This window comes from Homo sapiens, chromosome 6 (genome assembly GCF_000001405.40).
Source record: "Homo sapiens chromosome 6, GRCh38.p14 Primary Assembly".
Taxonomy (NCBI): Eukaryota; Metazoa; Chordata; class Mammalia; order Primates; family Hominidae; genus Homo; species Homo sapiens.
Genome location: NC_000006.12, coordinates 165,580,471 through 165,607,415, shown reverse-complemented (window position 1 = coordinate 165,607,415; position 26,945 = coordinate 165,580,471). Strand labels below are relative to the sequence as shown.

Here is a 26,945-nt window from a genome sequence, read left to right as displayed (position 1 = left end):
TATCTGAACATAAAAAGGTAATGTGTTGTGCTATACCATTAGGAAGGCTACTGCGTCATCAGTCAATAAATATTTTTAAGCTTCGTTATAATATTATGGGACCATCTCATATATCTTTGGTCGCTTGTTGACCAAAACATCATTACGCTGTGCATGGCTGTAATTGCAGCTAAAGCATTGCTGTCCAAATTAACTCAAGGCGTTGGGTGTGTAGTACATGCTCATTGTGCAGACGAGACCTGTGCACCATTAGCACCATCAGGTCCTGCAGTCAGTGGATTTCTTAAAGTTCAATACGTTCTTTTAAAAAGTGAAATAAGTATTCTGAAAGCATTTTTAACGAAACCACTTCTAAGTTGGGAAGCAAGAAAATAGATAAAACATGACAATAATTATGACAAGGTAACAACAGAATAAGTATATGAGGATAAATGTATATATTATATTGGAATATGAAGAGCCCTAAGTTGTTGCCAGAGTGAACCTATTCACTTATCATATTGATCATCTGGGCTCCCACCCCTCTTATGATTAGTAATAGAGCAGAAAAGTCCTCAACAACCTGACTCAGCCTGTTCTTCCACCTAAGCCCCTGCACGCACTGCACGCACTCCATGGTCCAGTCACACCAAGCCGCAGATGCTTTTCCTCATACTTGATTTACTGTTTTATCTGTTGACCTTTTTTACAATTTTTGTGCCTACCCTAAGCCTTTCTCCTACTTGCTATACCTGGTACACTTACCTCCTCTTAAGAAATGTTTCCCTGTTCCCACTATAGTCATTAGTGATGTGGTATTTCTGGTTTTCCTCCTGGGTATGAGGTAAGATTGCAAGTTTATGATGTGAGTTGCTTTGATCAATAGCAGGTGGAAGGAAGCGAGGTGTGTTACTGACTCGTGGAAGTTTTTAATAGGCGACGCTCACTTTCCCACGCTCCCATCCCCTGCTGTGGTAGCCAGTGCTGTTCTGCATGGTGTTTGGTCTTGCATTCCTGAGTGAGAACAAGGTAGAGGAAGGAGACTCCTCAGAACTTTATGCATGTGGACAGTGAGTGAAAAACAAATCCTGTGTGTTTTCAGTTACTAAGATCCTGGGATAGTTTATTATCTCAGCAACACTTAGCCCTGACGGACTGACACATGCCCCTCTTATGAGCTTCTCTTTCCTCAGTGTTATTGTAATTGTTGGTAGCATTTTTGAGAACTTACTGTGCCCTAGACTGTGTGCCTGGTGCTTTATTTCTGTTTTTTTTTTTTTTTTCGCTTGTTCGTAATGTTAATAATTTGCTCAAGGTCAGACTGTGTGACTCCTAATGACTGCGCTCTCCCCAGCTCCCTTGCCTGCGTTACTCAACAAACATCCCCACGCACCTGCTGCGTGCCCAGCTCTGTACTAGGTCTGAGGATCAAAAGATGAATCAGAAATAATCCCTGTCCATGAGAAAATAAGGATATTATAGGGAGAAACAGAAATTCAAGCCAGTGCGTATGATGACATATTAATAAAGGTTGTACAGCACAGTGGGTGCTAGAAAGATTTAGAATCAAAACCTGTCTCTTTCATTATGTGGTCTTGGACAAGTGTCTCTCTCCCCACTCTCCAACCTTTCTGACTTCTATTCCAAAAATGGGGACATTTGTAACTTTTATAAGATGTCGATGGCCACCTACCTGAAAACAGTAGTAGCATTGCATGCGCCGAAGCATTTGAAGCCACAGGCACTCAACAGCCTGCCACAAATGACAGTTTGTGTGTGGTTTCCGTGTTGCTTCAGTGGAAGATTCACCGAGAGCACAAAGGAAGGAGCCAGAAACTTGCTTGAGGGAAAAGGAGCAGAAAAGTTATATGGAGGAGGAGGTGGTGTTTGACTTGAGTTCTTAAACAGAAGTAATTTTAACTCTGATTGGAGGACAAGGGCAATACATTCCAGGATAAGGGAAATAGCATGAACAAACTGTGAAACATTGGGAACTACAGGAAACTTATTTTTAGAACAGTGCAGAGCACAGTTGGAGAAATGGTGGGAGAAGTGCTGTGCAGGTGCCACGGGCAGTCCCAGCCCCCTGAATGCGACTGCACAGGCCATTCGGAACGAGTGGAAGGGCTCATTCTGAGCTGTGACTTGTTGGTTTTTTTTGTTTGTTTGTTTTTTGTTTTGTTTTTTAATATGGGTTCTGGAAACACGGAAGCAATGTCAAGGATTGCCAGGAGTCACAGATGAAAGGAAGGAAGCCAACTGGTGGACCGCTGTAGAGAGAGATGATGAAGGCTTAAATTCAGGCAGAGGAGATGGAAAGAGAACAGGTATGAGCAAAATGAAGCAATGAAATTTGATAAAGACATATTCCGGTGGTAAAATGTAAAGAGTGAGGCAAAGAAGGGGGTTCAGGAGAGCTACCACACTTCTAATGTGGTGACTGGAGGGTTGTTTGTAATAGAGCTTGAGAGTAGAGAAAGTTTATTTTTTTAGTTTTTGTTTTTTAACTGTCAAGTTTTCTGTGTAGGAATTATTCACTTTAAAAACTCAAACAATGTGGAAAATCTTCAAAGTAAGCTAAGAAATTCCACTACCCACATATGACCCTGTTAGCTTTTTTCTTCTACACTGAAATCCACATGTATGTGTAATGATCATCTTAAACAGAATGGTACCTTTAGCAGCTTCCTTTTGTATTTAGTAACATAGCGCAAGCAGCCCTCCAGCTTTCCACTGAAGTACCTAAGAGATCTGCTTTACGCCTTAGTGTAAAAGGATAAGTAGTATCCCATTCCATGTAGGATGTTTCCGGTTATTTCTTTATATCTACTTTTACAAGTAATGTCATCCAGGACACTCTTGTGTAGCTATCTCTGCATGCTTTTGACAGTATAGTAACACTTTTTTTTTTTTTTTTTAACAAAGAGAGTAAGTGCAGTCTTGTGCATGTAGCTTCTCAGGTAGCTTGTGGACACTCACGTGGGCATGTCACCTACTCAGCTGGACCAGAAGGGGCTGATGTCAGCTAGTCAGCTGGACCAGAAGGATGAACTGGAGCTGAGTATTTGTGGGGTATCAAAATGTGAATGGTACTCGAAACTATCGCCAATGATTCACTTATTGAAAGTATTTATTGGTGGGGGTCTGCTGTTTGCCAGGCGCCGTATTATCCTTGGGGATACAATGGTCCGTAACCTCCCAGCGCTTTACTACAGACCCATGAAGACGAATGAATAGTCATAAACAAATTTACTGTTAAGAGTTTACTGATAAAATACATTTGCTGATAAAGGTTACAAATGAGAAGAAATGGGTGTTAGGATGGAACCTAATTTTTAGACTTGGTGGCAGAGGAAGGCCTTCCTATTTCTTTGTTATATATTTTTCTTGGCTAATCCTAAATATTTTCTTTATGTACATATCTTGATTGTTACACTTTCTATGTGTCCTAGAAGGAGCATGGTTTGTAAGCATTGACTTAAACAAGTGGAAATAGCTCCAGTTTGCATGATCAGTCCCATGGTTTTAGTTCCTGCTTCAGCAAATTGAGGGTGGGTATTCAGTTGTTGCATATACCACCTTTTATTCATCCGTTCCCTAGTGGATAAATATTTAAGTTAGTGCCAATTTTTTGTTGTTGTAAAAAATACCAACTTCAGAAATAACACATACGTCATTGAACTTGCCCCCTTTCTCTCCATTTTCAATACCATTAGGGGTCATTGTGCCCATGACTGTGGTGAAGTCGCTCTGCGCATAGGACACAGAGCATGGGCCCTCCCCAGAGTCCTCACTGGGACGCTGCTCCCCTCCCAGATTCTCTGCCAGGGGCTTTCATCTGAGCCACTTAGGAGAGACTTAAAGGTACCTCAGGAAATAACAGTGTATCTTAAGAACCGAATGCTTTCGGGAAGACTTCCCTCTGTTACTCAGAAGCCTTTTATATAGCTATTTCCTATGTTTTCACTACAGTGCCTTTCAGCTACAAAATGAGTTGTTAGAAGTGTCATTTTTGCTGTTAAATATTATTTCTGTGATTCTATGTTTTCACTGTTTCCTGCTTACTAACATGTGTGTTACAGTGGCCTTGACCTTATATCACTAAAGGACAGTGCTAAAATAACGATAAAGCACCAGTGAGATTTTAAGGAGTTGCTAGGGGATACAACTGCAGACGTCTCTTGCAGGGGTTCCTCAACATGGCTGGATGGCAGAATTGTATGGAGGAGCTTCATGGCCCCTATTGTACGTTTACTCATGCAGAGTCTTTGGACAATATATTTTCTAAAAGATGCCCGTGGCTTGCCAAAGTTGGTTTCAGATATATTTGAAAAGGAGGTGCATCATTAGTAACTACTTTTGCTATTTTTTAAAAAATAAAATTTATTTTTACTTCTTATTTTCCCTCTTCTAAAATTTAACCTAATTTTGCTTTCGTATTGTGGGGAAAAGAACTCTGATGTTACATGAAGAAAATGTAATACAAACTAGGTTAGATTTTATGTAGTCTGTCTAGCATAGAACAATAATTATTGCCAACAGGACAGAATGGGATGAAATGTTGTGGTGGTAGATGAGGCTCTTCAGTGATAGGACTCTTTGGTTTTAAGGACTTTGAGAGGTGGCCGTCTTCTTATAAACTATCATCAAGTAGGTAGGCATGAGGTGTGAGACCCTCCTGAGCCTCACACCTGTACAAGGTATGATTTAGGACCACTGGATTTTTGTGGGACTTGATCTTTTTATCATATGGGTGCCCTGTTTATGGAAAATAATACAAAAGTACCTTTTTCAAATTTCACAAAAATGTGATAATGTGAACTCATCACCGAGGTCATTCCCAGGACCTTGGAAGGGGCCTGTACACATGCTGGGCCCTGAAACTTCATGGTATATCTGCTTCATGGTATATAGCTTCATGGTATATCTGCCTATTCTCCTGCCCAGAAATGTTGTTCCCGCTCAGTTTCTTTGGTGACTGAAATTGCACATGTGGAAGGGCACTCTGGTGCTACATTTCTTTCTCTAGAATCGAAGTTCCCCGAGAGAGACCGAAGGGAGACATGTGGATTATTCCCCAGAGTCCACTCACACGGGCTGGTAGCTGCCTCCTAGGGCTCTTGGTTGAGAAAGAGGCATGAGAAAGATTGGGGTGGGCCAAGGCAGGATTAGAACTAGGAAGACAGGAGGGAGACAGTGGGGATCAGCGGGGCTTGTTTCCTGTTGCTGCCGTTTGTTACCTGTGCCTGAGGTTGCAGCGTGCCTTACTTGATTGATTTGTGGCCTCACTTTCTGCTGCCACTGTCCAAGCCCATGGAGAATGCTGAGGCTGGGGACTAGTGAAAACAGAAATGGACAGTGGGACAGGGAAGAAAAGGGCTGAATGAAAAGACTGACCCAAGGACAAACTTATCTTATTAACCTGTTTTGCTTAGTATATCCTGATCTTAGTCTCTGTTTTAAAATATATTGGTTACAAAAAGGATTTTTCCCATGGCTCTTTGTCATCTGGCATAGAACAATAATTACGGCCAACAGGGCAGGGTGGGATGAGATGTTGCGGTGGTAGATGAGGCTCTTCTGTTATGCGACTCTTTATATTTTTAGGGACTTTGAGAGGAGGCTATGTAATTATAAACTATAATTAATTAATTAGATATGTATGAGGGACCCTAATGATTCTTTAATGTACCCAAGAGCAAATAAATGAAAACTTCAGAAAGCAGAAGAGAACCTCCCTGACTAATCTATGTGAATTTCGAGAAACACTAAGTAGTTACCTGTTAGCAAGTTCTTAACACGAAAACTTCAGGGGGCTGTGGCATCTAAAGATTAGGAAATCTTGAAAATAATTACTCTTGTGAAAGGAATTTAAAGGACAGGGCAATTGGATCTTAAAAGTATGGGAGTCTACCAATTCTTTCATTTCTCTACCTCATAGGGCTGGTATAAGTATTTCATATTACAATGCTGCTAAGTCACATAAAACACGGCATAGTACACAGCAGGCACTGAATAAATGTTAGCAAATTATGTGTAATATAAAACTGTAAAAAATGTAATTGTTATATTTGGGTAGCTAGAGAAAAAAATACTTCAGTCATATCATATTAGTCCATTTTCACACTGCTGATAAAGACATACCCGAGACTGGGAAGAAAGAGAGGTTTAATTGGACTTTCAGTTCCACGTGGCTGAGGAGGCCTCAGAATCATGGCAGGAGGTGAAAGACACTTCTTACATGGTGGCAGCAAAAGGAAAAATGAGGAAGAAGCAAAAGTGGAAACCCCTGGTAACCCATCAGATTTCATGAGACTTATTCTCTATCATGAGAGTAGCACGGGAAAGACCAACTCCCATGATTCAATTACCACCCCCCTGGGTCCCACCCACAAACTTGGGAATTCTGGGAGATACAATTCAAGTTGAGATTTGGGTGGGGACGTAGCCAAACCATGTAACATATTTAAACCTTTGACCACTGGACTTAGCTAATCTTGCTTCCAACATCAGATATGTTTAAAGAATTTGGTGCTTATTTGTGAGTCAGGAATGGAGGGAAGAGTGCAGGAACAATTTTTGAAAATACCACTGTCTGACTTGATACAATCATGTCAGAGTAGTTAAAAGGAGTTTAGCAGGTCCTTCAGGTCCTGCTGAGGGCAATTACTTTGTGTCCTTGACAAAGCAGTCTCAAGGCCGTTATACAACACATACTGTGGGAGTGAAAGGCTGATGAGGAAAGCTGCAAATGTAAATCTGCCGGTAGGGAAGATCACTGAGACACAGAGAGAAACATCAAGTGAGGAAGTCAATGCCGGAAAGGTGACTAGATGCTGCTGGGGTTAAAGGGAGAGAGGAAGAGGCTTGGCTGTGCAACAGTGAACCTGGAAGAAATATATGCTACCCTGGACGTGAAAGGACACGTCAGAACATTTACATGTGTATGTGTATGTGCGTGCACAGCCACACACACACAATTTGGTTTCTTGAACAGAAAGAAGCAAGCGTCCTCAAAAGACAACCCACTTTCTCATTGGGTTCAGTTGGAACTCTGAGCTTCAAACCTGACTTTACAGAGAACTCATTCACTCCATTTTCCTGGACAATCGTCCTTCAGAGCCCTGCCCTGGCTGGCCACTCTCCCTCTCCCGGGTGGTAAGCATCTTGGAAGGGCTGCAGGCTGTTTTGGCAGTGTGTCCCCAGCATGCAGCCCTGAAAAACGAGTGCGTCTTTCTGTGGTTTGTGGGATCCTCGGAGGAGGAGTGAAGGTGATTATAATGTGTCAGATTCTCATTTGGGGTGGGAAGTGTTGATTTGACAGAGATGAAAGCCTTTGGCTGGGGAGGGGTGTGTGAGGTGCGGTGTGGCGAGGATTCCCCGGTCGGACTGTGATGTCAGTGGCCCCGGAGGGAACAGCTTGCACTCAGCCTTGAGCAGTTGGAATCTGTTGGGAGGGCAGTTGGCCAATCCTAGGCCTGAGAGTTGGGCAATGGGAGACCCCATCAGTGTGTCACCTTTGCCTCCGGGTAGAAAGAAAGCAATCTAAGGATGTGTGCAAGACTGCGTTCCTAGGCGAGTCTGTGTAACTGATGCCAAACCGGGGAGGAAGGCTGTGGAGGAGGCCGTGGAGGCCCGCTCACCAGCTCTGTACTGTTGGTCAGAGACGCACTCCTGCTCCTGCCTGTGACCCAGCAGTTGACGGTTAACTGGTATGGCAACATTATATGGTGAGGAGGGTGCTTGCTTGCTCACATGATAATAACAAAAATATTTATTAAATTCTTACTGTTACGAGGTATTCTGTTAAGCCTGTTTAAAGACCCTGAGGCTGTCTAAGAAGTTTTATGATACTAAAATGTAATTGAGGCATACCTTATATTTTCCTAATTGTCCTGGGTTAAGTGATGGCAACAGTGACTCTAGGGGTTCCTTTGACTTTTCATTACTCCAAGAAGTCAGAAGAGAGACTGGTGAGAAAATGAAAACTAACACTGAAATGTATCAGAAGGAAGCTTGGAAAGGGTAGTACTGAAGAAGAGAAAACTATACGGGCACTCTGCCTTTGTGCAACAGAGAAAGAGTCATACCTATTGCGAGGGAGTGAGTTGAATTGAGCAAGGACTGTGCATAAAGGTTTGTTTGCCTTATAAAGGTGAAGGCTTACGTTTTGTGTCTGCTTCTTTGTGTTCTTTGTGTTTGCTTGTTTTAGTATGCTTTTGTTTTCAGCAAAGCATTTACTATTTGCCAGAAATGCTGGCAGTCACAGTAGTGGAGGAGTTGGCATGCAATTCATTAGGATTATTTCCTTTAAAATTCCTTCACAACCGTCTTAGGGCAATTCTGAAATTACCTTTGGGAGATAGATTAGAATATATGAGAATGTCTAGCTTACAGTTAAGGCTGATCTGGAAGTACTAATAGTAGGACAGCTTCTCACCTCTTCTGAAGGACTGGAGAGGCAGTCTGCGTAGGGTAGAAAAGAGAAAAGAGAGCATTCCATAGAGAGAACTGGACATGTACAGGGAGCTAGAAGTCCTGACCCCGTCCCCTCATCTTGCAGAAGGCAGGTCCATAGCCAGCCTCCCAGCGGCTGGCAAGAGCAGGCCCTCTAGGTCCCAGTGCTGGGCTATTAGTTTAAAATTTTCCTAATTTATTTGAAAATTTATAAGAGTAATGGATTTTTTTCTTTGAAAATTAGTTTGTGATTCTACCTATTGTATGAGCTTAATAGAAGAACCCAAGGAACCATTTATTAATTGCCGTGTTCCAGATGGCATATTAAGAATTTGATGTGCATTATCTTTATTAGTCTTCATGATAATCCTTATAAGATTGATACTATTATTATCACCATTTTACAGATCTGAGCCTTAGGATAAGTCCATTGCCCAAGGTCACACAGCAGGGGCCACACCATTTGTACCCTGATTATAAAGGAAGGTATGAACTCCCATTTTCATGATATGGAGCAACTTCTGTACAAGTGTTTTAAGTTTGGAAAATTTTAAAGACAGTTTTGCTAAAAATGCCTTTCCTTTCTTCTCTTTTTGAAAGAAATCTTGACAATAAATTGCTTATGTGTTGCATGTGACTCTTAAACATTCTGTTTTTAAGATCTCTTTGATATTGTTGGTGCTCTCTCTCTCTAAGATCTGTTAATAAGAAGAAAAGAAATTAAATACTATTAGTGAAGTATACTTCCAAACTTTGTAACAATAATTTCCACCATTCTCAGATATACTTAAATAACTGCTAAAATGTATGTTGGTATTGTAAAACCTAATTGGCAAACTGACAGGTTTGGGGTTTTTTTCCCCTCAACAAAAAAGTAAGTGGAAAAAGACTCTCTTAAAATTAGAGTTGTGAGTGGTTTGTTGGCTTGACTCGTGGCATTGAGTGCCTCAGGTGAGCAGAGACCAAAGCGTGACCTGTGCTAGTGGAGCTCTTGTTGCCCTGTTTCGTTCACAAGGAGGCAAGTTCTACTTCAGTCTTGCATGTGGGTCACACACAGCTGACCTCAGGTTGCCATTTCTTTTCTTTTCCATTTTACCAGCCTCACAGTCTTTTTTCTGTTACCTTCCATTTACAATCCATTATATATAAGTGGGACTTAAGGGCCTATGAAGGACACAACAAAAACTGTGAGTAAACCTGGTATCATCCGGCTTTTCTCCTGTCTGCTGCAGTTTGATGTTGCTGAGATCTTGTGCACAGCTGTTAAGCTATCTGGAAAAGAACTAACTGGAACATGTAAAGTAGTCATTCCGTTTCTAAAGTGGGTTTGTTTTTTTCTGTCCTATAAAATGCACGTAAGTCTTTGTTTATGTGCTACGTTTGGACATATTTGAGGGAGTGTTTCCTTCTATTTATTGGTCGCATTAATATCATACATATGTCACTTTAACCATCAACCCAGATAGCCTAAGGGAGAAAACATTTTTGTGGCCAAAACCTGAGTTTTACATAGGAAAATGCTTGGGTGTAAATACAGCCAAAGACTCATTGGCTTACTTTTCTACATACGATTTGAGAATTGAGATATCTTTTTGACTAATTCTCCATTAAAACCTGATTTGGCTTTTAGTACTCTATATTAGAAGAAAGTGACTATTAAGAAACTTAATCCACCAGGATAATTTTCTTAATCCATGGTCTGTATGTGTGGGTTTATCATGTATTTATTTATGTAACAGGTATCGGGTGTCTACTATGTGCCAAGAACTTTTTTAGGAATTGGGAATACAGCAGTGAATGAATAGATTAAAATAAAATCACTTTCCTCCAGGATACCTGCATTAAAGGAGAGGAGGGGTAAGACAGAAATAAATCAGGAAAATATGTGGTGTGTCAGATTGTTGATAAGCACTATGGAGAAAAAGGAGTGAAGGGCAGTTACCATTTTAATTAACATGGGCAGGGAAGGCTGCACCAAGTAGGTAAAATTTGAGCAAAAATTTAGAGCAGGCAGACAGCTGGTAACAAGTTTCAAGCAGAAGGAAGAAAGAGCAATTGCAAAAATTTAGTCTCAGAATATGGCTGGCATATTTGGAGGCACTGCAAGGCGGCCATGTCAGTAGAGGAGGAGAGCAACGTTCTCCTAGGATATTCAGGACCCCATGAAGGATTTTGTCTGCTCTCTGAGTAAGACAGGAAGAAACTGAAGAGTTTGTTTGTTTATTCACTTACATATTTTTTTTGTGTGTGTGTGACATGGTCTCACTCTGTTGCCTAGGCTGAGTGCAGTGGTACAATCATGGCTACCTGCAGCCTCCACCTCATGGGCTCAAGCAGTCCTCCCACCTCAGCCTCTCAAGTAGTTGGGACTACAGGTGTGTGCCACCACACCCAGCTAATTTTTTAAATTTTTTGTAGAGAAGGGGTCTTGCTATGTTGCCCAGCATGGTCTGGAACTGCTGGACTCAGGTGATCCTCTCACCTCAGCCACCAGAGGTGCTGGGATTACAGGTATAAACTGCTGCACCTGGTTCATTGAAGAGTTTTAAGCAGATAAGTGACCTGATCTGACTTCCTAAGATCACTGTGGCTACTGTATTGAGAACCGACTGTAGGAGAAAAAGGGCAGACGCAGGGAGACGATTGAGGAGGCCAGTGGCCAAACCAGGCAAGGGCTGGTGGTGGCTGGGGCCGTGGTGGACACAGTAGACTGGATGAGAGATGAAAGGATTGCGGATACTTTTTCAGGGTACAGCCAACAGTATTTCCTGATGGATTAGCTATAAGGTGGGAGAGAAAGATGCCAATGATGGCTTCAGGGTTTCAGCCTTGATGGAATAATGGAGGATCATCAGGTTTAGGAAGAAAATCTGGAGTCTGCCAGATGTTTCCACCATAAAGGTATCGTTTCTCCTTTGTGATGAGTAATCCATGGAATGATACTTTGAGATCTTGTGAATATAATATTTCTCAACACTGTATTAGGTGTTTGGTTTTGGCCATTTCTGTGGTCTGAATATTTGTCCTCCCCAGCCCCAAAATTCATATGTTGAACATAATCACCAAGGTAGATGGTATTAGAATGTGGGGCCTTTGGGAGGTGGTCAGGTCATGAGGGCTGTACCCCTGAGAATGGGATTAATTAATGCTCTGATAAGAGGCCCCAAAATGCTGCTTTCCCCTTCAGCCATGTGCAGACACATAGGAGGGCTCATCTATGAAGAAGGGGCCTTCACTAGACGTTGAGTCTACTGGTGCTTTGATCTTGGACTTCCAGCCTTCAGAAATGTGAAAAATAAGCTTCTGTTGTTCCTAGATTATCCAGTCTAAGGTGTTTTGTTACAGCCTGAATGGACCAAGACAGACGTATTAGTTGGAGATATGGAGTAGGTTTTTGGCTATATTATGACACAAGTCTGGGTGTAAGTTGATTAAAATAAGGACTGATTTTCATTTGAGGCCCTGATAATGGAACATGGGCAAACATTTCATGGGTATGTCGCATGTTCAATTTCATTCATTTGAATGGACTAGAACAATGAAAGATAATAATTTAATTTTGATTGTTCTACAGGCCTGTCTTTATTAACTTTGCAGATGTCCATCTGTGTGATAATTGAGCCAGTTTTCTTAACTCTATAATATAGCCAAAGGCTTCGAGCCATCTTTTCTGTAACAGTGATGTTGCCCAGCTTTGGTGGGCAGGTGGCAGGTTAGTTTGACTCCCATGAGAGGACTAATCCAGAGACAAGTAGGCTAGCAAAGGATGGACTGAGGCTACGGCAGGTGAGCTGCAGGGCTGGCCCCTGCAGCTGGCTAGGGCTTAAGGGAGCCATTTCCACATGGCTGGACCTGGGCCTTAAACCCAGTGATGGCTGGGATTGCCAGGCTCCTGCAGTCCAAAGAATCTGGGTTTCAGAATTGACTCACTTTGTTCAAATTCCAGCTTTGCCAGTCACTAGATACGTGACTTTGACAAAGTTACTTCTCTGAACTTCAGTTTCTTCACCTGTAGATTGCGGATAATCATAATTCATGATCTGATCTTGTTCACCACACCAGACTTAACCTCCTGCCATCCTTTTAAGTGTACTTTTTAACATGCACATGAGTATATGGTTCTTTGGCTTGGCACAAATTACCATTGCGTTGCATGTCCTTTCTATTTTTGGTGATGCTAAATTTGCTCACTAGGTTCAGATGGAGTCTGCCAGATGTCTCCACCATAAAGGTATCATTTCTCCTTTGTGATGAGTAATCCATGGAACGATACTTTGAGATCTTGTGAATATAATATTTCTCAACACCGTATCACTCAGTGGTTTTACTATTCATTGATGATCTTTGCCTGAATTATTGCTTTGGGGCTTATAAAATGATGATTTTTGAATGAATTCTACTATTCCATCTATATTTATAGCTTGAATTCTTCTGAGAGAAAAGAACTTCCCTCACTCTGCTCCCACTTTTTTGTTCTGCTTCACTTTGGGTATCATTAAGGACTCGTGGATTCCTTCTCTATTCAGTATTATAATATATTACCATTTCTATTCTTTTTTGTACTTAATGTGTTATAATCTATTGCTGTATTTATTATTTCCGATATTCAAACTACCCAGATTTGGCCAGTATGCGTTCTTTCAAACATTTTCTTACTATATTTCATATGTCTTTATTAACCTCAGAAACACTTGCTCTCTTGGCACAACATTTCCCTTATTTACTTTGTATGTTCCTATTTCAGACCTGGAATCAGCCACTTCTCCAAGGAACTCTGGTTCTGTTCAGTGGGAAATGGTATTTAGTAGCCAAGACCTGAGCACTAGATGTGCTCATTGCAACTTGGATGTTATTCCTTCTAGGCCCTTACAGTGGATACAGCTAGGAAATGTATATTTAAATGATGAGTTATAATGCTATCTCCAATTCAAATCCAGTACCATAGGATTCTTCCTAATTTTTGTAAAACAATATTATACAAAGTAATTGGCATAGAAAGTAATTATTAGAAAGCTTATACATTATAGGTTAGTCTGATTAAGAATGTTGTCATATGGTGCAGGTTTTAATATTGGTTATTTAGCTCACTTACAATAATTTATCTTGTGTACTATGCCTGAACAAGGAATCTGAGCATAGTTTTCAGTCTTCGGAATTTTGACTGGATTTGGCATCCTTAACGTACTCAGAATGACCTACATACTTCATAATATTAGTAAGTGTCCTTACAAGATGGATAGTTTAGAACATCATCATTTAAAAATATCTCAGCAAGTTATAATAAAATGTTTTTATTATAAAACATAAAGGTTTACTAGAAAGTCTTTAAATAAATTGAAATGTAACTAATGTAATGTCTCAGTATTAGGTATAGATTTTGCTGATGGAATGGTCAGTATATGCAATTTTCATTGATGGCTCCTTTTTTAGGTTTATTGTAGTACCCCGTATTTGTGCTGCTTTTGATCATATCAGAATACTGACTCATGCCATCAACTTTGTTAGCCAGGACATTTTGAACTTTTTTTTTCCCATTATACTTTTAAGTTCTGGGATACATGTGCAGAACGTGCAGGTTTGTTATATAGGTATACATGTACCTTGGTGGTTTGCAGCACCCATCAACCGGTCATCTACATTAGGTATTTCTCCTAATGCTATCTCCCTTAACCCCCACCCCATGACAGGCCCCGGTGTGTGATGTTCCCCTCCCTGTGTCCATGCATTCTCATTGTTCAGTTCCCACCTATGAGTGAGAACATGCAGTGTTTCGTTTTCTGTTCCTGTGTTAGTTTGCTGAGAATGATGGTTTCCAGTTTCATCCATGTCCCTGCCAAGGACATGAACTCACCCTTTTTTATGGCTGCATAGTATTCCGTGGTGTGTATGTGCCACATTTTCTTTATCCAGTCTATCATTGATGGACATTTGGTTTGGTTCCAAGTCTTTGCTATTGTGAACAGTGCCGCAATAAACATACATGTGCATGTGTCTTTATAGCAGCATGATTTATAATCCTTTGGGTATATACCCAGTAATGGGATGGCTGGGTCAAATGGTATTTCTAGTTCTAGATCCCTGAGGAATTGCCACACTGACTTCCACAATGGTTGAACTAGTTTAAAGTCCCACCAACAGTGTAAAAGTGTTCCTATTTCTCCATATCCTCTCCAGCACCTGTTGTTTCCTGACTTTTTAATGATGGCCATTTTAACTGGTGTGAGATGATATCTCATTGTGGTTTTGATTTGCATTTCTCTAATGACGAGTGATGCTGGGCTTTTTTTTCATATGTTTGTTGGCCACATAAATGTTTTCTTTTGAGAATTGTCTGTTTATATCCTTTGCCCACTTTTTGATGGTGGTGTTTTTTTCTCGTAAATTTGTTTAAATTCCTTGTAGATTCTGGATATTAGCCCTTTGTCAGATGGACAGATTGCAAAACTTTTCTCCCATTCTGTAGGTTGCCTCTTAACTCCGATGATAGTTTCTTTTGCTGAGCAGAAGCTCTTTAGTTTAATTAGATCCCATTTGTCAATTTTGGCTTTTATTGCCATTGCTTTTGGTGTTTTAATCATGAAGTCTTAGCTTATGCCTATGTCCTGAATGGTATTGCCTAGGTTTTCTTCTAGGGTTTGTATGGTTTTAGGTCTTACTTTTAAGTCTTTAATCCATCTTGAGTTAATTTTTGTATAAAGTATAAGGAAAGTCTCAGTTTTCTGCATATGGCTAGCCAGTTTTCCCTACACCATTTATTAAATAAGGAATCCTTTCCCCAATGCTTGTTTTTGTCAGGTTTGTCAAAGATCAGATGGTTGTAGATGTGTGGCGTTATTTCTGAGGCCTCTGTTCTGTTCCATTGGTCTATATATATCTGTTTTGGTATCAGTACCATGCTGTTTTGGTTACTATAGCGTTGTAGTATAGTTTGAAGTCAGGGAACGTGATGCCTCCAGCTTAGCACATTTTAAACTTTTAAGTTTATCATATATATGTAAGGATTTGAATTAAAACCAATGCTGCAGGGAGTGTTTTTCATATGCTACTATAGCATTTTTGTCTATTTGTGTTTTAAAATGGGTATTTGGTTTTCTGGGATGGACATATAATAGAGCCTTTTAAATAAAAAGCATTGATGAATGAATAGGTCAGCTTTATGGAGTTTTAAGTTTCTTTCTTCTTGTAAACAGCATAGAACCCCATTCAAGGCAATGTCAGGTAGATTATATCCTTAATTTATATTGGGCTAAAATACATTCAATAGCTAATTTAACTTAAAAAAACAAAAAAGCAAAAAACAACACACATGTTTTGAAGAGTTGTTTAAGCTCTTCATTTTGGGTGTCCCAAGTAGGAGGTGAACTTGACATTGCCTTTTGGCAAAGACTGGAGAGCAGGGCAGGACCAGTGAGTAATGCTTGTGGAGGTTCAAATCTCTGGTGACCCATTCCATACAGCTGTGGTTCTTTTAATTGGGAGACTTGGGTTTTGAAGGGAAGATGGCAGCCGGGACTGACAGATTTTACAATAGTAGAGCAGAGTAACAGCAAAGCCAACAAATAATTTATTTATTGACACCAACTATACAATCATGCTAATTTCATTCCAAGTGCAGAACTTATACCTCATTCCAGTTTCTGTTTTCAAAGAATAACAGAAGCACAATGAAAATACTTGTCAGAGAAAATTCTTAAAATCCACTTGGCTACTTTTTTTTGCTGTGAAAGAAAAAGCCCCCTTTGTGCCAGCCATTAGGACTTATAGATACGGCTGCAACACAATTCACTTTTTTCCATGTTACCAAATTTACAATGAATTACACATGATCTTTTGATTTCCTGTCTTTCATGCCATCCTATGCTCCTTTTTTTCCCAATAAAAATACCTCTTCTCTTGCTTTGCTGTTCTTATGATCCAAATGACTAATACAATAGAATGAGAAAGTATGTGGGCAAAGCAACTCCGTCTCATTTTCTCATTTATTTTGATTTAAATACTTTGTTAGCTGAGGGGAAATTACATACATATCTATGATGTCATCATGGTTGTTGTACTTGAGTTAAATGTCTAATTTTTTTTTTCTATTTTTGAGACAGAGTCTCGCTCTGTCGCCCAGGCTGGACTGCAGTGGCGTGATCTCGGCTCACTGCAAGCTCCGCCTCCCGGGTTCATGCCATTCTCCTGCCTCAGCCTCCTGAGTAGCTGGGACTACAGGCGCCCGCCACCATGCCCGGCTTATTTTTTGTATTTTTAGTAGAGACGGGGTTTCACCGTGTTAGCCAGGATGGTCTCGATCTGCTGATCTCGTGATCCACCCGCCTCGGCCTCGCAAACGGCTGAGATTACAGGCGTGAGCCACTGTGCCTGACCATCTTAAGTTGTTTTTTAGTGTCTACCCAAAACAGATTGTAAATTTGGAATTACATGAAGTACAAAGGAGGCTACAGTTTTGTACATGGCACATAATAAGCACTCAAAAGGTGTTTGTTGGGTCAAAATGAAAAGTACATACTCTTTATGTTTGCTGTGATTTGCATTATGGTTCAACTTGATTCAGTATGTATTTCTACTCTTGTGACTGCAAGCATGACTCTGGAAGCAGACGCCTGGGTTTTAATTGAGCTTTGCCACAGACTAGCTGTGTGGCCAGCTATTTAACCTCCCTCTGCGTCAGTTCCATCCTCTAAAATGGAGGGAATAATACTAATTCTTACCATATAGAATTTTTGTGAAAAACACATGTGACTACCCAATGAGTATTAGCTCTTATTTATGACTACTTTCTTGTAAATCAGTATAACCTGCCCTCTAGATTCTATCCCGGAACCTTTTCTAGTCTTCATAAACACTCCTGAAATGTTTTTGCCAATAACTTTCCTCAACCTCAGATGTGTACAACTGAAAATCCAAATTTTTCAAGTGACATTCAGAAGCATCTGCTGTCCTTTGTACTTTTTATCTCAATTTGTGATAAAAACTGAAATAATATAGTATGCATATTTAAACTTAACAGTTTGCCTTTTGAAGTCTTTTTCTTAATGATTTACATTTTCTTTAAATGAAATTTATATTTAAAGGTAGAGTTTTAAATGTATCTGAATTTTTTTTGTTTTTTAGTGGCTGATTGGTTAGACTTGTTTAAAATCTGTTCCCTTGCTTTCTAACTTGTTACTTAACCTGCAGTTCATACCATATGCAGATAAGTTATTTAGCCTGGAATATAGACAATTTCAGTCGGTGACATTTTTTTCAAATTTATAATTTTTCTCATACATCCATTTGTCTTTCTTCCCTTCCTCCAGGAAGGCCTCCTTTCCTTCCTTCTTTCCATCCATTCAAAAATAATCTCTATGCCAGGGACTGTTATGTGTCTGAAGACACATGTAATTAATTTAAAACATGTGAATCAATGAATACCTATGTACTCCCAAACCAGCCTGAGAAAATATTAACTTGATTTTCAAAGTTTAAAAAAAGGTTCTAGTGTTCATTTTCATTTTTGATTGTCTTTATTTTACTTAAAGCTAAATGAAATAATAAAGAAATAAAACATTTTTTAAAGTTTTAACCAATGCATTTTAAATATAAAGTAATAAATCTTTAAGAGAACAACTAAAATTGGGGAAATTTCATATTCTGTATTCCACAAGCATGTGGAGGCCATCCATGCTGAGTGCTGTGGTGAACACAGCAGGCTGCGTGGGACCTTATACAGCTGATACTCATTGTCATTTCAAGTCATTTTACCCAATTAACTTTTCCCCTGTACCTTGCTTGTAAACAGAATTGGAAACTATCTAAAGGCCTATAGTACTTTGCATGCTCTGTATGTTTGCAATTGATGAAATTTTATTTTTTGGACTTCAGCAGTTTGTACAGACATGTACAAGTGAGCTTGTATATGTTGGCAATATATTAATCTGTGTTAAATATGTTAGTTTTGTGGCCATGGCTGATTTGAAAAGAACTGGTTTCTTAATGCTTTCATTGGGTGGTAGAATATTTGGAAAATAAAGATACTTACAGAGACTTTTATGAATATTTATTTTAAATATTTGTTGAGTACTTCCTGTGTGTTAGGGCTATGCTAGAGTCTTAACATTAATTACCTCATTTAACATTCACAAAAACTGCATAGTGTAGGTAGGGAAATTGTCCAGAGAGAGGTTACATTAATAAGTGGTGGATTAGAGATTCAAGCTCACATCTGTCTTCTCCCAGAACCCATGTTTTCTTCACTGTACTAGTATTTGAGATGTGGATTTCATGAACTATGACATCATATTTTCTTAAAATGGCAGAATAATGTAGGTTTTCCCTCTTTTTATGGAATATATCTGAAAGTACTGACTTGATAGTAGGGGACAAAGTAAAATCATAAAGCTAACTTTAGGCTGGGAGTGGTGGCTCACTGTAATCCCAGCACTTTGTTAGGCCAAGGCAGGCAGATCACCTGAGGTCGGGAGTTCGAGACCAGCCTGACCAACATGGTGAAACCCCATCTCCACTAAAAATACAAAAATTAGCCGGGCATGGTGGCACATGACTGTAATCCCAGCTACTCTAGAGGCTGAGGCAGGAGAATTGCTTGAACCTAGGAGGTGGAGGTTGCAGTGAGCCGAGATCATGCCATTGCACTCCAGCCTGGGCAAAAAGAGCAAAACTCCATCTCAAAAAAAAAAAAAAAAAAAAAAAAAAGAAAAAAAAATCTCACTTTATTTCCCTCACTCTCCAGCAGTTTACTACCACCCCCAAGATAATTTTTTTCTAATATTAAGATGGGAAAGGAGAGTATTTTCACCTAGTGTCAATTTTAAGAATAACTTAGTTTGAAAGGTATAGACATATAGTTATACATACCATTTTTTTAGAGCGGTATTTACCAGCATTATAAATTACCTTAAGAACAAAAGATACATTTCTTATTGATGATAAAGAAAATACAAAGGCTAATACTGGTTAAAATAGAATAGAGTCATCTAGTTTTATTGGAGTGGTAACAAAAACAAAATTTAAAGCAAACATCGTAATGAATCTTGCTTTGGTTGCTAGATCTCTAAGCCGTCCATACCAATGACAGTCATCTGTCAGCAGTGTTTTCTGAATGTTTCTGTGTGCAGGGACCTTTATGAGGTGTTTAACCTCATTTAACCTCTGTGGTTTGCAGCTTGAATTTTAAAAGGCCAAAAATAATGGTTGTTCTTTCCTGGAAGACATATGAAAATTATGTGTTGCATTTTTTTTTAACAGTAATTTCCCAAAGTCCTTATACCTTAGTTGTTCTATCCTATCAATCAGGTAAATAGGAAAAAAAAATTCATATCTGACATTTAGAGAAATCCCCCAAATATTGGGTGGGTCTGGAATTTGCTAATCACTAGGTCTCTTCTGCATCTAACTTAATGAAACATGCAGTGATTTAATTTTCTATCAGTACTTCTAATGTTAATAAGATGAAACAATGAATTAAATGAGTAATTCCTTTGTCTGTTTAGGGAATACATGCTAAAATTTTACAGCAAAAATAACTTACCCCCATCTAGGACCCAAGAACCTAAGGAAATTACTCATTTTGTTTTCCGTAAATTGCTGCTGTGCATGAGACACGTATTAAATTTCAATTCAAGAGCTGGGTTTTGGTACGTAACTTTCTCCTTGTATCGTTCTAATTGCTTTCTCCCTGTATATACTTTCAAAAAGTTTATGTTCCTCCCGTCTTTACTTCTTTCTTTCATTCCTCCACCCACATATTCTGTGCATTGACCTGTTCCATGGATATTTACTGTCTTCTTTGTTCCACATGCAGGTGATACGATGAGAACAAACAGGACAAAATCTCTGCCCGTCAGAAACTCACATTCCACGTGCCATTCTACTCTCTCCTTTTCCACTTCCCCTGCGCTCATCCTTTAGAGTTGGTCACCCTCTGTGATGGCTGGTGACATCCCCCAGAGCATGAATGGATGCCCCACAGTTTGCTAGGTGCTGGTTCCAAAGGTGCTGCCACCTGAAGTTTTGCTTGCATGCTGATTCTCCACCCTCAGATTTTAAGACAAAGTACCCCAAGATTGTCTTTTGTCATTAGCTCAGCATTTTTTTTTCAAGGCAAATATAAAAGAGTTATATAAGAAAGACTGCTGTAGATAACATTACCGAGTTCTAGATGTTGGCTTCCAACCAAATTTCAAATCAAGGAAGCGAGTTGGTATTTCAACCTCTGAAGCCAACTAACATTCTTATGAAAAGTCACTTAAAGTATTAAGAATCATGGATTTTGGTGGCTTCTAGACGTTACTTGTGGTTTTCTTAGTAAACTACAATATGGTAGTATGATTTAGAATATTATTTCTATATAACTTCAGGGGTGTAAACTATCATTTGGCCCTTGTGGATATTATTAACATTTTTAATTAGAGGTTTGCTTTTCTTCTTTTAGGCCTTTTGATATATAGTATCAGTTCTCTTCTGGGACATGACTATTTGCCCCACCTGGTCAGATCTCTAAGAAAATGGCAAAATGGGAAAGGAAATATTGAAGAGTAATGGGTTTCATATTTTGTGGCATAGTGGGAGGGAGGACATCTTAACTATTGGTGTCTGAATAAGAATTCAATTTTAAAAACTAGTTTTACTTGTGCAGTAACTTAATGGAAACATGTACTATCTCATTCTTTCTCTATAATATTATTTGATTCTCATTATATTGTTGACCTGAAGGAGGAAGTTGAGGCACAAAATATAATTTTAAAAAGTTTACTTGAGCTAAGGTGAGAGGACAGCCATCTGGAAGACTGAGACCCAGGTCACCTTGGATATGAGCTCTGTTCGGCCTTTGTTAGAAGCAGGTTTTCCAAAGCAAAAGGGGGGCAGGGAGTGGGCTGATAACTGCTGTTTGTCAGGAATTCCCGTTGGTTAGACAAATAAGATTGATTAGTGATTGACTATACATTGGTGAACTGTGGGGTATGGGGTATGGTGTCCAGTGAGTGGCCTTGCTTGGTTAGTTGATAGCTGCTTGTGGCGGCAGCTGGTCAAGAGTCCACATAGCAAGCAGCTTCAAGAGCTGATTACTTAGCGCAAGGGGGGGATGTTGGATGCGACTGCTGCCTCACTCTCATGCCTCTGTGGGTCTGATAATTTACAACAGGCTCGCATTCCTCAGATAAAATTTCTTTTCTTACTATGTTTTATTGTTAAGCACCTATATTAGTTTCCTGTGGCTGCTCTAACAAATGCCACAAACGTTGTGGCTTAAAACAACAGAAGTGCATTCTCTCATCATTCTGGAGAAGAGAAGTCTGGAATCAGGGTATTGGCAGGGCTGCACACCCTCCAGAGGCTCGAAGGGAGAGTCCTTTCCTGCCTATTCCAGCTTCTGGTGGCTCCAGGCATTCCTTGGCTTGTGGCAGCATCATTCTATTCTCTGCCTCTATTTTCACATCCCCTTTTCCTCTGTGCACTTCTCTCTCAAAAATTCCTCTGCCTCCCTCTTTTAAGGATACGTGTGATTGCACGTAGGTCCCCCTAAGATTATCAAGGATAATTTCCTTAAAGTCAATGGACTGTGACTGCTAATCATGTCTACAAAATACCTTCACAGCAACACCTTGTTTGTATTTGAATGAGTTGCTGGGAATATTAGACTAGTCAAGTTCCCACATAAAACTGGCCATCACCCCCTGTAAACTTGGCACTCATATACTTCTTCTTAAACTATGACTAATCTCCAAATAAAGACACCCATAAAGTCATATTTCCACAGGACATGATGCAGCTATCTTACTTACAACCAAAAATGTGTTAACCCTTTCCCCAGAAGAGGATGCAAAAGTTCCTGGTTGGTTTTCACTGTTTTCCTTAACTTCCTGGAACTTAAATACCATGATGTAAAGTTCAATGTTATTCATGCATCTTATGTTAGATGATAAGGGATAAGAGCAGGAAGAATGCAAAGATTCTTGCTTAAAAATGTGTATACCCACATACTCAATAACAAAATAAGAAATACTCATAAACATTGAAGCCCTTGTTTCTGAAACTGACTGCCTGGTCCTAGATAGTGTTTATAGCTACTTTCTTCCATTACTCATTCCATATTCCCTTTGCCCTCTGGGAGCACCACAGCCTGTTGCTCAGGGTTCTTTGCCTGTAGGGTGACCCAGACCCTCATTCCTGAGGGGCCTGGGTCATTAACAGTCCTGCCTGAAAGGGGTTGTTGGTTTTCCATTGACTTCAGTCACAGGGCATGGTGGCAGATGCAGATGCCCTAAGGGGTATTCTGCATTCCAGACATGTTCTTCCTAACCTTCTTTTTGTAGCCGAAAAGCAACCAGGTGTCCAGGTGGTTGATTAGGACAAGGGGCCAAACAAAAAGGAATAACTAAGGCTTTGTTCACTTGCTGGGATAAGCAAGAGACACAAAATGGTGCTGGCTCCCCAGAGGTGCTGGCTGTCATCTGCAGAATGGCACTGGTGAGAGTCAGGTGGATCAGCTCAGATGAGGGGTGCATTTCACTGCTGGGAAGTCTCAAACAAAAGGCTCCTGCGTCTTTATGGGCCTGTTGGCTGGGGGAAGGGCTAGGTATGGGAAAGTACCAAATCAAAGGGAAGAAAAGTACCTCCTCCAGGCCCCCCAGTAAGAAGGCGGCTGAATGGAGGTGCCTGGACAAGGAAGGAACATATGTGTATGAGCATGACTGGCCCAGGGGTCAGGGAAGCCTGAGTCCTCAACTGCAACTCCTTCCAGAAAACTGCAGTGCACTGACTGTGCACCAAGCATGTTGTGTGGTGGGGTCAGCTTTTCTCCATGAGGGCTGCCAGGCACAACTTTGTAACTGCCTCTATTGGACCTGAAAGATCACACAGACGATTTGGGCCTGGAGCCAGAATACCCGATAGTAGCAGCTCCATTTCCTCCTGGCAATCAGGATCAATCACCCCAGCCAGTACTTTGCCTATTGATTCAGAGGCCTGAGGAGCCCAAAGTGACTGGGTGGCAGTCTCAACTTCCAGTTCATTGGAGCCATTGTGTCTTCTGGTAGAAACATTCCTCCCTTTGAAGCTAAGGACGAGCAGAGCATAAGGTTGTGGGAACAGGAAGTGAACATTTTAGTAGTAAATCACCAGGAGTAATATTAAGGGGTGCCATTCCTATTCCTCCCCACCCTTGATTCCTGGACCCATGAATCCTGGCTATGGGAGAAACGGTATCATACATTAGACACTAGTTTAGGACATATACAATCTCCCACAGAACATTGCCCCAGCGCTGCAAGATATCCCACCTACCTGCTGCTGAGACTTCAAATACCCCTTTTCTTTTCTGTCAAGCCAGCTGCTTCAGGATATGGGGACATGGTTTGAACAGTGAATTCCATGATCGTGGGTCCACTGTCATACCTCATTTGCTGTGAAGTAAGTTCCTTGATTAGAAGGAATGCTGTGTGGAATACCTTGAAGTTATATCATTTAGGGCTCACTTGGATAATACAGGGTAAACTCCTCCTCTCAAGATCTTTAACTGTAATCTCATCTTTTGCCATAAGGCAACATTCTACAGGTTCCAGGGATTGGATGTGGGTATCTTTTGGGAAGTGATTTTTGGCCTCCTGGAGTATCTGACTGTTTTACTTGTAAACTTTGGAGAAGCAGTAAGACTGAAGAGGTAGAGAATATACGTTAAAGAGGATCTTTAGGCACACTAATTTGTTATTTGTTTTGAAACATAGCTCAGGTACACATTTGCTATGTAAACTTTGGCAAGTGACCTAACTTCTTAATCCTCTTTCCTCTTCTGTAAAATGAGGATAGTAAGAATAATTTATCTGGATCATTTTGAAGATTAAATGATTTAGTAAATGGAAAATGATTAGTATACTGCCCCCGCACATAGTAGGCATTCAACAAATTCAGACTAATGCTATCATAAGCAGCTGGCTCAGAAAAGCTTTGCATCGAACAAGCAGCTGTGGAGGCCGGTACTTGGTGGTTGACACATATGGATGTGTTTTGTTTGTATTTATAAAGGTTTTGAGTTATTTGCCGCACGAAGAAATACTGGTAAGACACACAGGAAAACATACTTGTGTGTTTTCTTGGGGAGAAATCTGGTGAGAATGAGACTTCTCAATATATATATTTTATATTGTTTTAATTTTTGAATGTGTAACAATTTGAAAAGGACAACTAAGTAAAGAACTTCAAGAGATAAAAGTTCGTAAATAGAGAGTCATCTATACTTGTCTTGATTAAAAAACAAGACAAGGTAGTAAAAATCCCCAAAGAGTAAAACCTGTTTTTTTTTTTGTTTGTTCTCATGACCCTTGAATCCATGGTGTTTCTTTTGGTGTATAGTTATTTTTTTTCCTTTGAGTTGAGTCAAATTTTTATATTCAGTTTTTTTTTTCTTAACAGTCTTCCACTTAAATTTAAATTTCAGTGGTTTTTTCATTGTGCATTTAAACATAGGTAGATTTATTTTATTTAGACTTGACAATTAGATCATTTGATGTGAACAACTGTACCTTAGAAAAATGTACTTAATTTGAAATACAGTCCTGTTATTAAATCGACATAGAAATCATATGCTTGTAATGATTTGCTTCTGCATACTTAAGAAGCTCTCACTGTACAGTTTTTATTTTTCCATTGGTTGTGACTTTTGATTTTTGGGCCCTGTATTTCCACTTACCTCATTAAGCTCCATAGTGACTACTCAAAACAGCCTACATAGAGAAATATGCTGTTATGGTGAATATCTGCCTTCAAATATTAGCACTGTACTTCTGTATAGAGCTGTGTATTTTTGAAAAAATTCAGTTTGTTTAAGCTTCATAAAAGCCCTGGGAAATAGGTGGGTCAGGCATAACTAATGCTATTTATCTTCAACTGTTCTTATTGTCTACCTGCTTAAGTAAAAGCGGGGACCATGGTCTTGTCATCCTTAGATTTCTAGTATATAGCATGTTGTTAGTGTTCAAAAATAGTTACTGAATATACAAATAAGCATATAGTTGGATAAAGAGATAAGGAAAATCACTGAAACCACATTTGGTGGCAAGTAAATGAAATAATCAAAACTAGAAACCCCATTGTTAGACTTCTAGTCCAAATGTTCCTCTCAGAACAACTGACTGATTCATAGTCTCTGCTTTAAATATGAGATCAGTTTAGGGCTACTCAAATCCTTTGTGCCAAAGAGAATATATTAATCCCCAGTCCAAGTAGGATTTAGCACTTTTGTCCACCAGAATAATCAAAGCAAAATTCTCAAATTGTAAAGGCCTCAGAAACACATGATGAGAAATTGTTTTGTTCTGTTTATCATACTTTTAAGCAAAATGCTTATGCATCTGCCTTAGTGAATTTGGGCTGCTCCAACAAGTACCACAGACTGGGTGACTTTTAAACATTTATTTCTCACAGTTCTGGGGGCTGGGAAGTCAGAGACCATGGTGCTGGCTGATGCAGTTCCTGGGGAGGGCCCTCTCCCTGGTTGACAGATGGCTGCTTTCTTACAAGAGAAATGTTTTGAGAGATAAGTCATCTCTTTCTCATTTCTTATAAGGGCATGAATCTCTCTCTCAGCTCTTGTGAGGGCACTAATCCTGTCAGTGAGGGCTCTACTCTCATGACCTAATTACCTCCCAAGGACCCTGCCTCCAAATGCCACTGCACTGAGGATCAAGGCTTCAACATATGAATTTTGGGGGGACACATTCTGTCCATAGCACTGTTCTTCTGTCAAAGCATGGTGAGGTTCTAATTAGTATTAAATGGTCTAAAGTATTCTTTTGGAAAGGAAAGATTTAAATTAACACCTGAATATTTTTATGAGTGGTAAAGTTAGAATTGAAACTGTTGACAGGTTTTCTTACCTCTTATTTTCTCCATGGTGTCACCATAATGGATCTAAAAAGGAAATTAATATTTATTTTTATCACCAATTTTTCTAACTTAATGTGCTAAAAATTATATAATTTAACAAGTCAAAAATTGAACTTACCATCTTCTTTCTCACTGGGTAGGAGACTTACCATCTTCTTTCTCATTGGGTTGGAGACTTACCATCTTCTTTCTCATCGGGTAGGAGACTTACCATCTTCTTTCTCTTCTCATCGGGTAGGAGACTTACCATCTTCTTTCTCGTTGGGTAGGAGACTTACCGTCTTCTTTCTCATTGGGTGGGAGACTTACCATCTTCTTTCTCATTGGGTAGGAGACTTACTATCTTCTTTGTCTTCTCATTGGGTAGGACACTTACCATCTTCTTTCTCATTACACCATATATATGTGAGTTTGAAAGGTGGTACTTATCTTTATTCTCATTCACCACTCTCTCCATATTCAGTCCATTAAATAAGTCCTGCTGGTTATGTTTTTAAAATATCTCTCAACTACATCACCATTACCTTATATATGCACATTACTTTTTCCTTAAAACTAATTGTCCTCACTAACGGCTGATCGATGTTTCAGAAACTCACAGTAAACTTACTTGAGCTGGAATA

At 39.7% G+C, this 26,945-nt stretch overlaps 1 protein-coding gene across 12 annotated transcripts in view, besides 1 other annotated feature; it reads left to right on the top strand.

The window, feature by feature from the left end:
* PDE10A (phosphodiesterase 10A) overlaps positions 1 to 26,945 on the top strand; it is a 660,764-nt gene that overhangs the window by 380,637 nt on the left and 253,182 nt on the right. For 3 of the 12 annotated variants that reach the window (XM_006715321.5, XM_011535388.4, XM_047418100.1), the window contains exon 1: positions 7,440 to 7,709. The exons of 7 other annotated variants lie outside the window; for them this stretch is intronic. In XM_006715321.5, the coding sequence (XP_006715384.1) occupies positions 7,694 to 7,709 (16 nt within the window). In that variant the 5' untranslated portion in view covers positions 7,440 to 7,693. Of the gene's footprint in view, positions 1 to 7,439; positions 7,710 to 26,945 lie in introns of those variants that run through there. 2 more of the 12 variants (XM_017010195.3, XM_047418098.1) reach the window with 1 other exon arrangement.
* Positions 9,226 to 9,727: an enhancer, noted in NCBI's record as "NANOG hESC enhancer chr6:166011177-166011678 (GRCh37/hg19 assembly coordinates)". NCBI's record gives its function as "activates a minimal SCP1, AML or CMV promoter by ChIP-STARR-seq in primed H9 embryonic stem cells {active_cell/tissue: H9 hESC(primed)}" and the evidence as "EXISTENCE:reporter gene assay evidence [ECO:0000049][PMID:30033119]".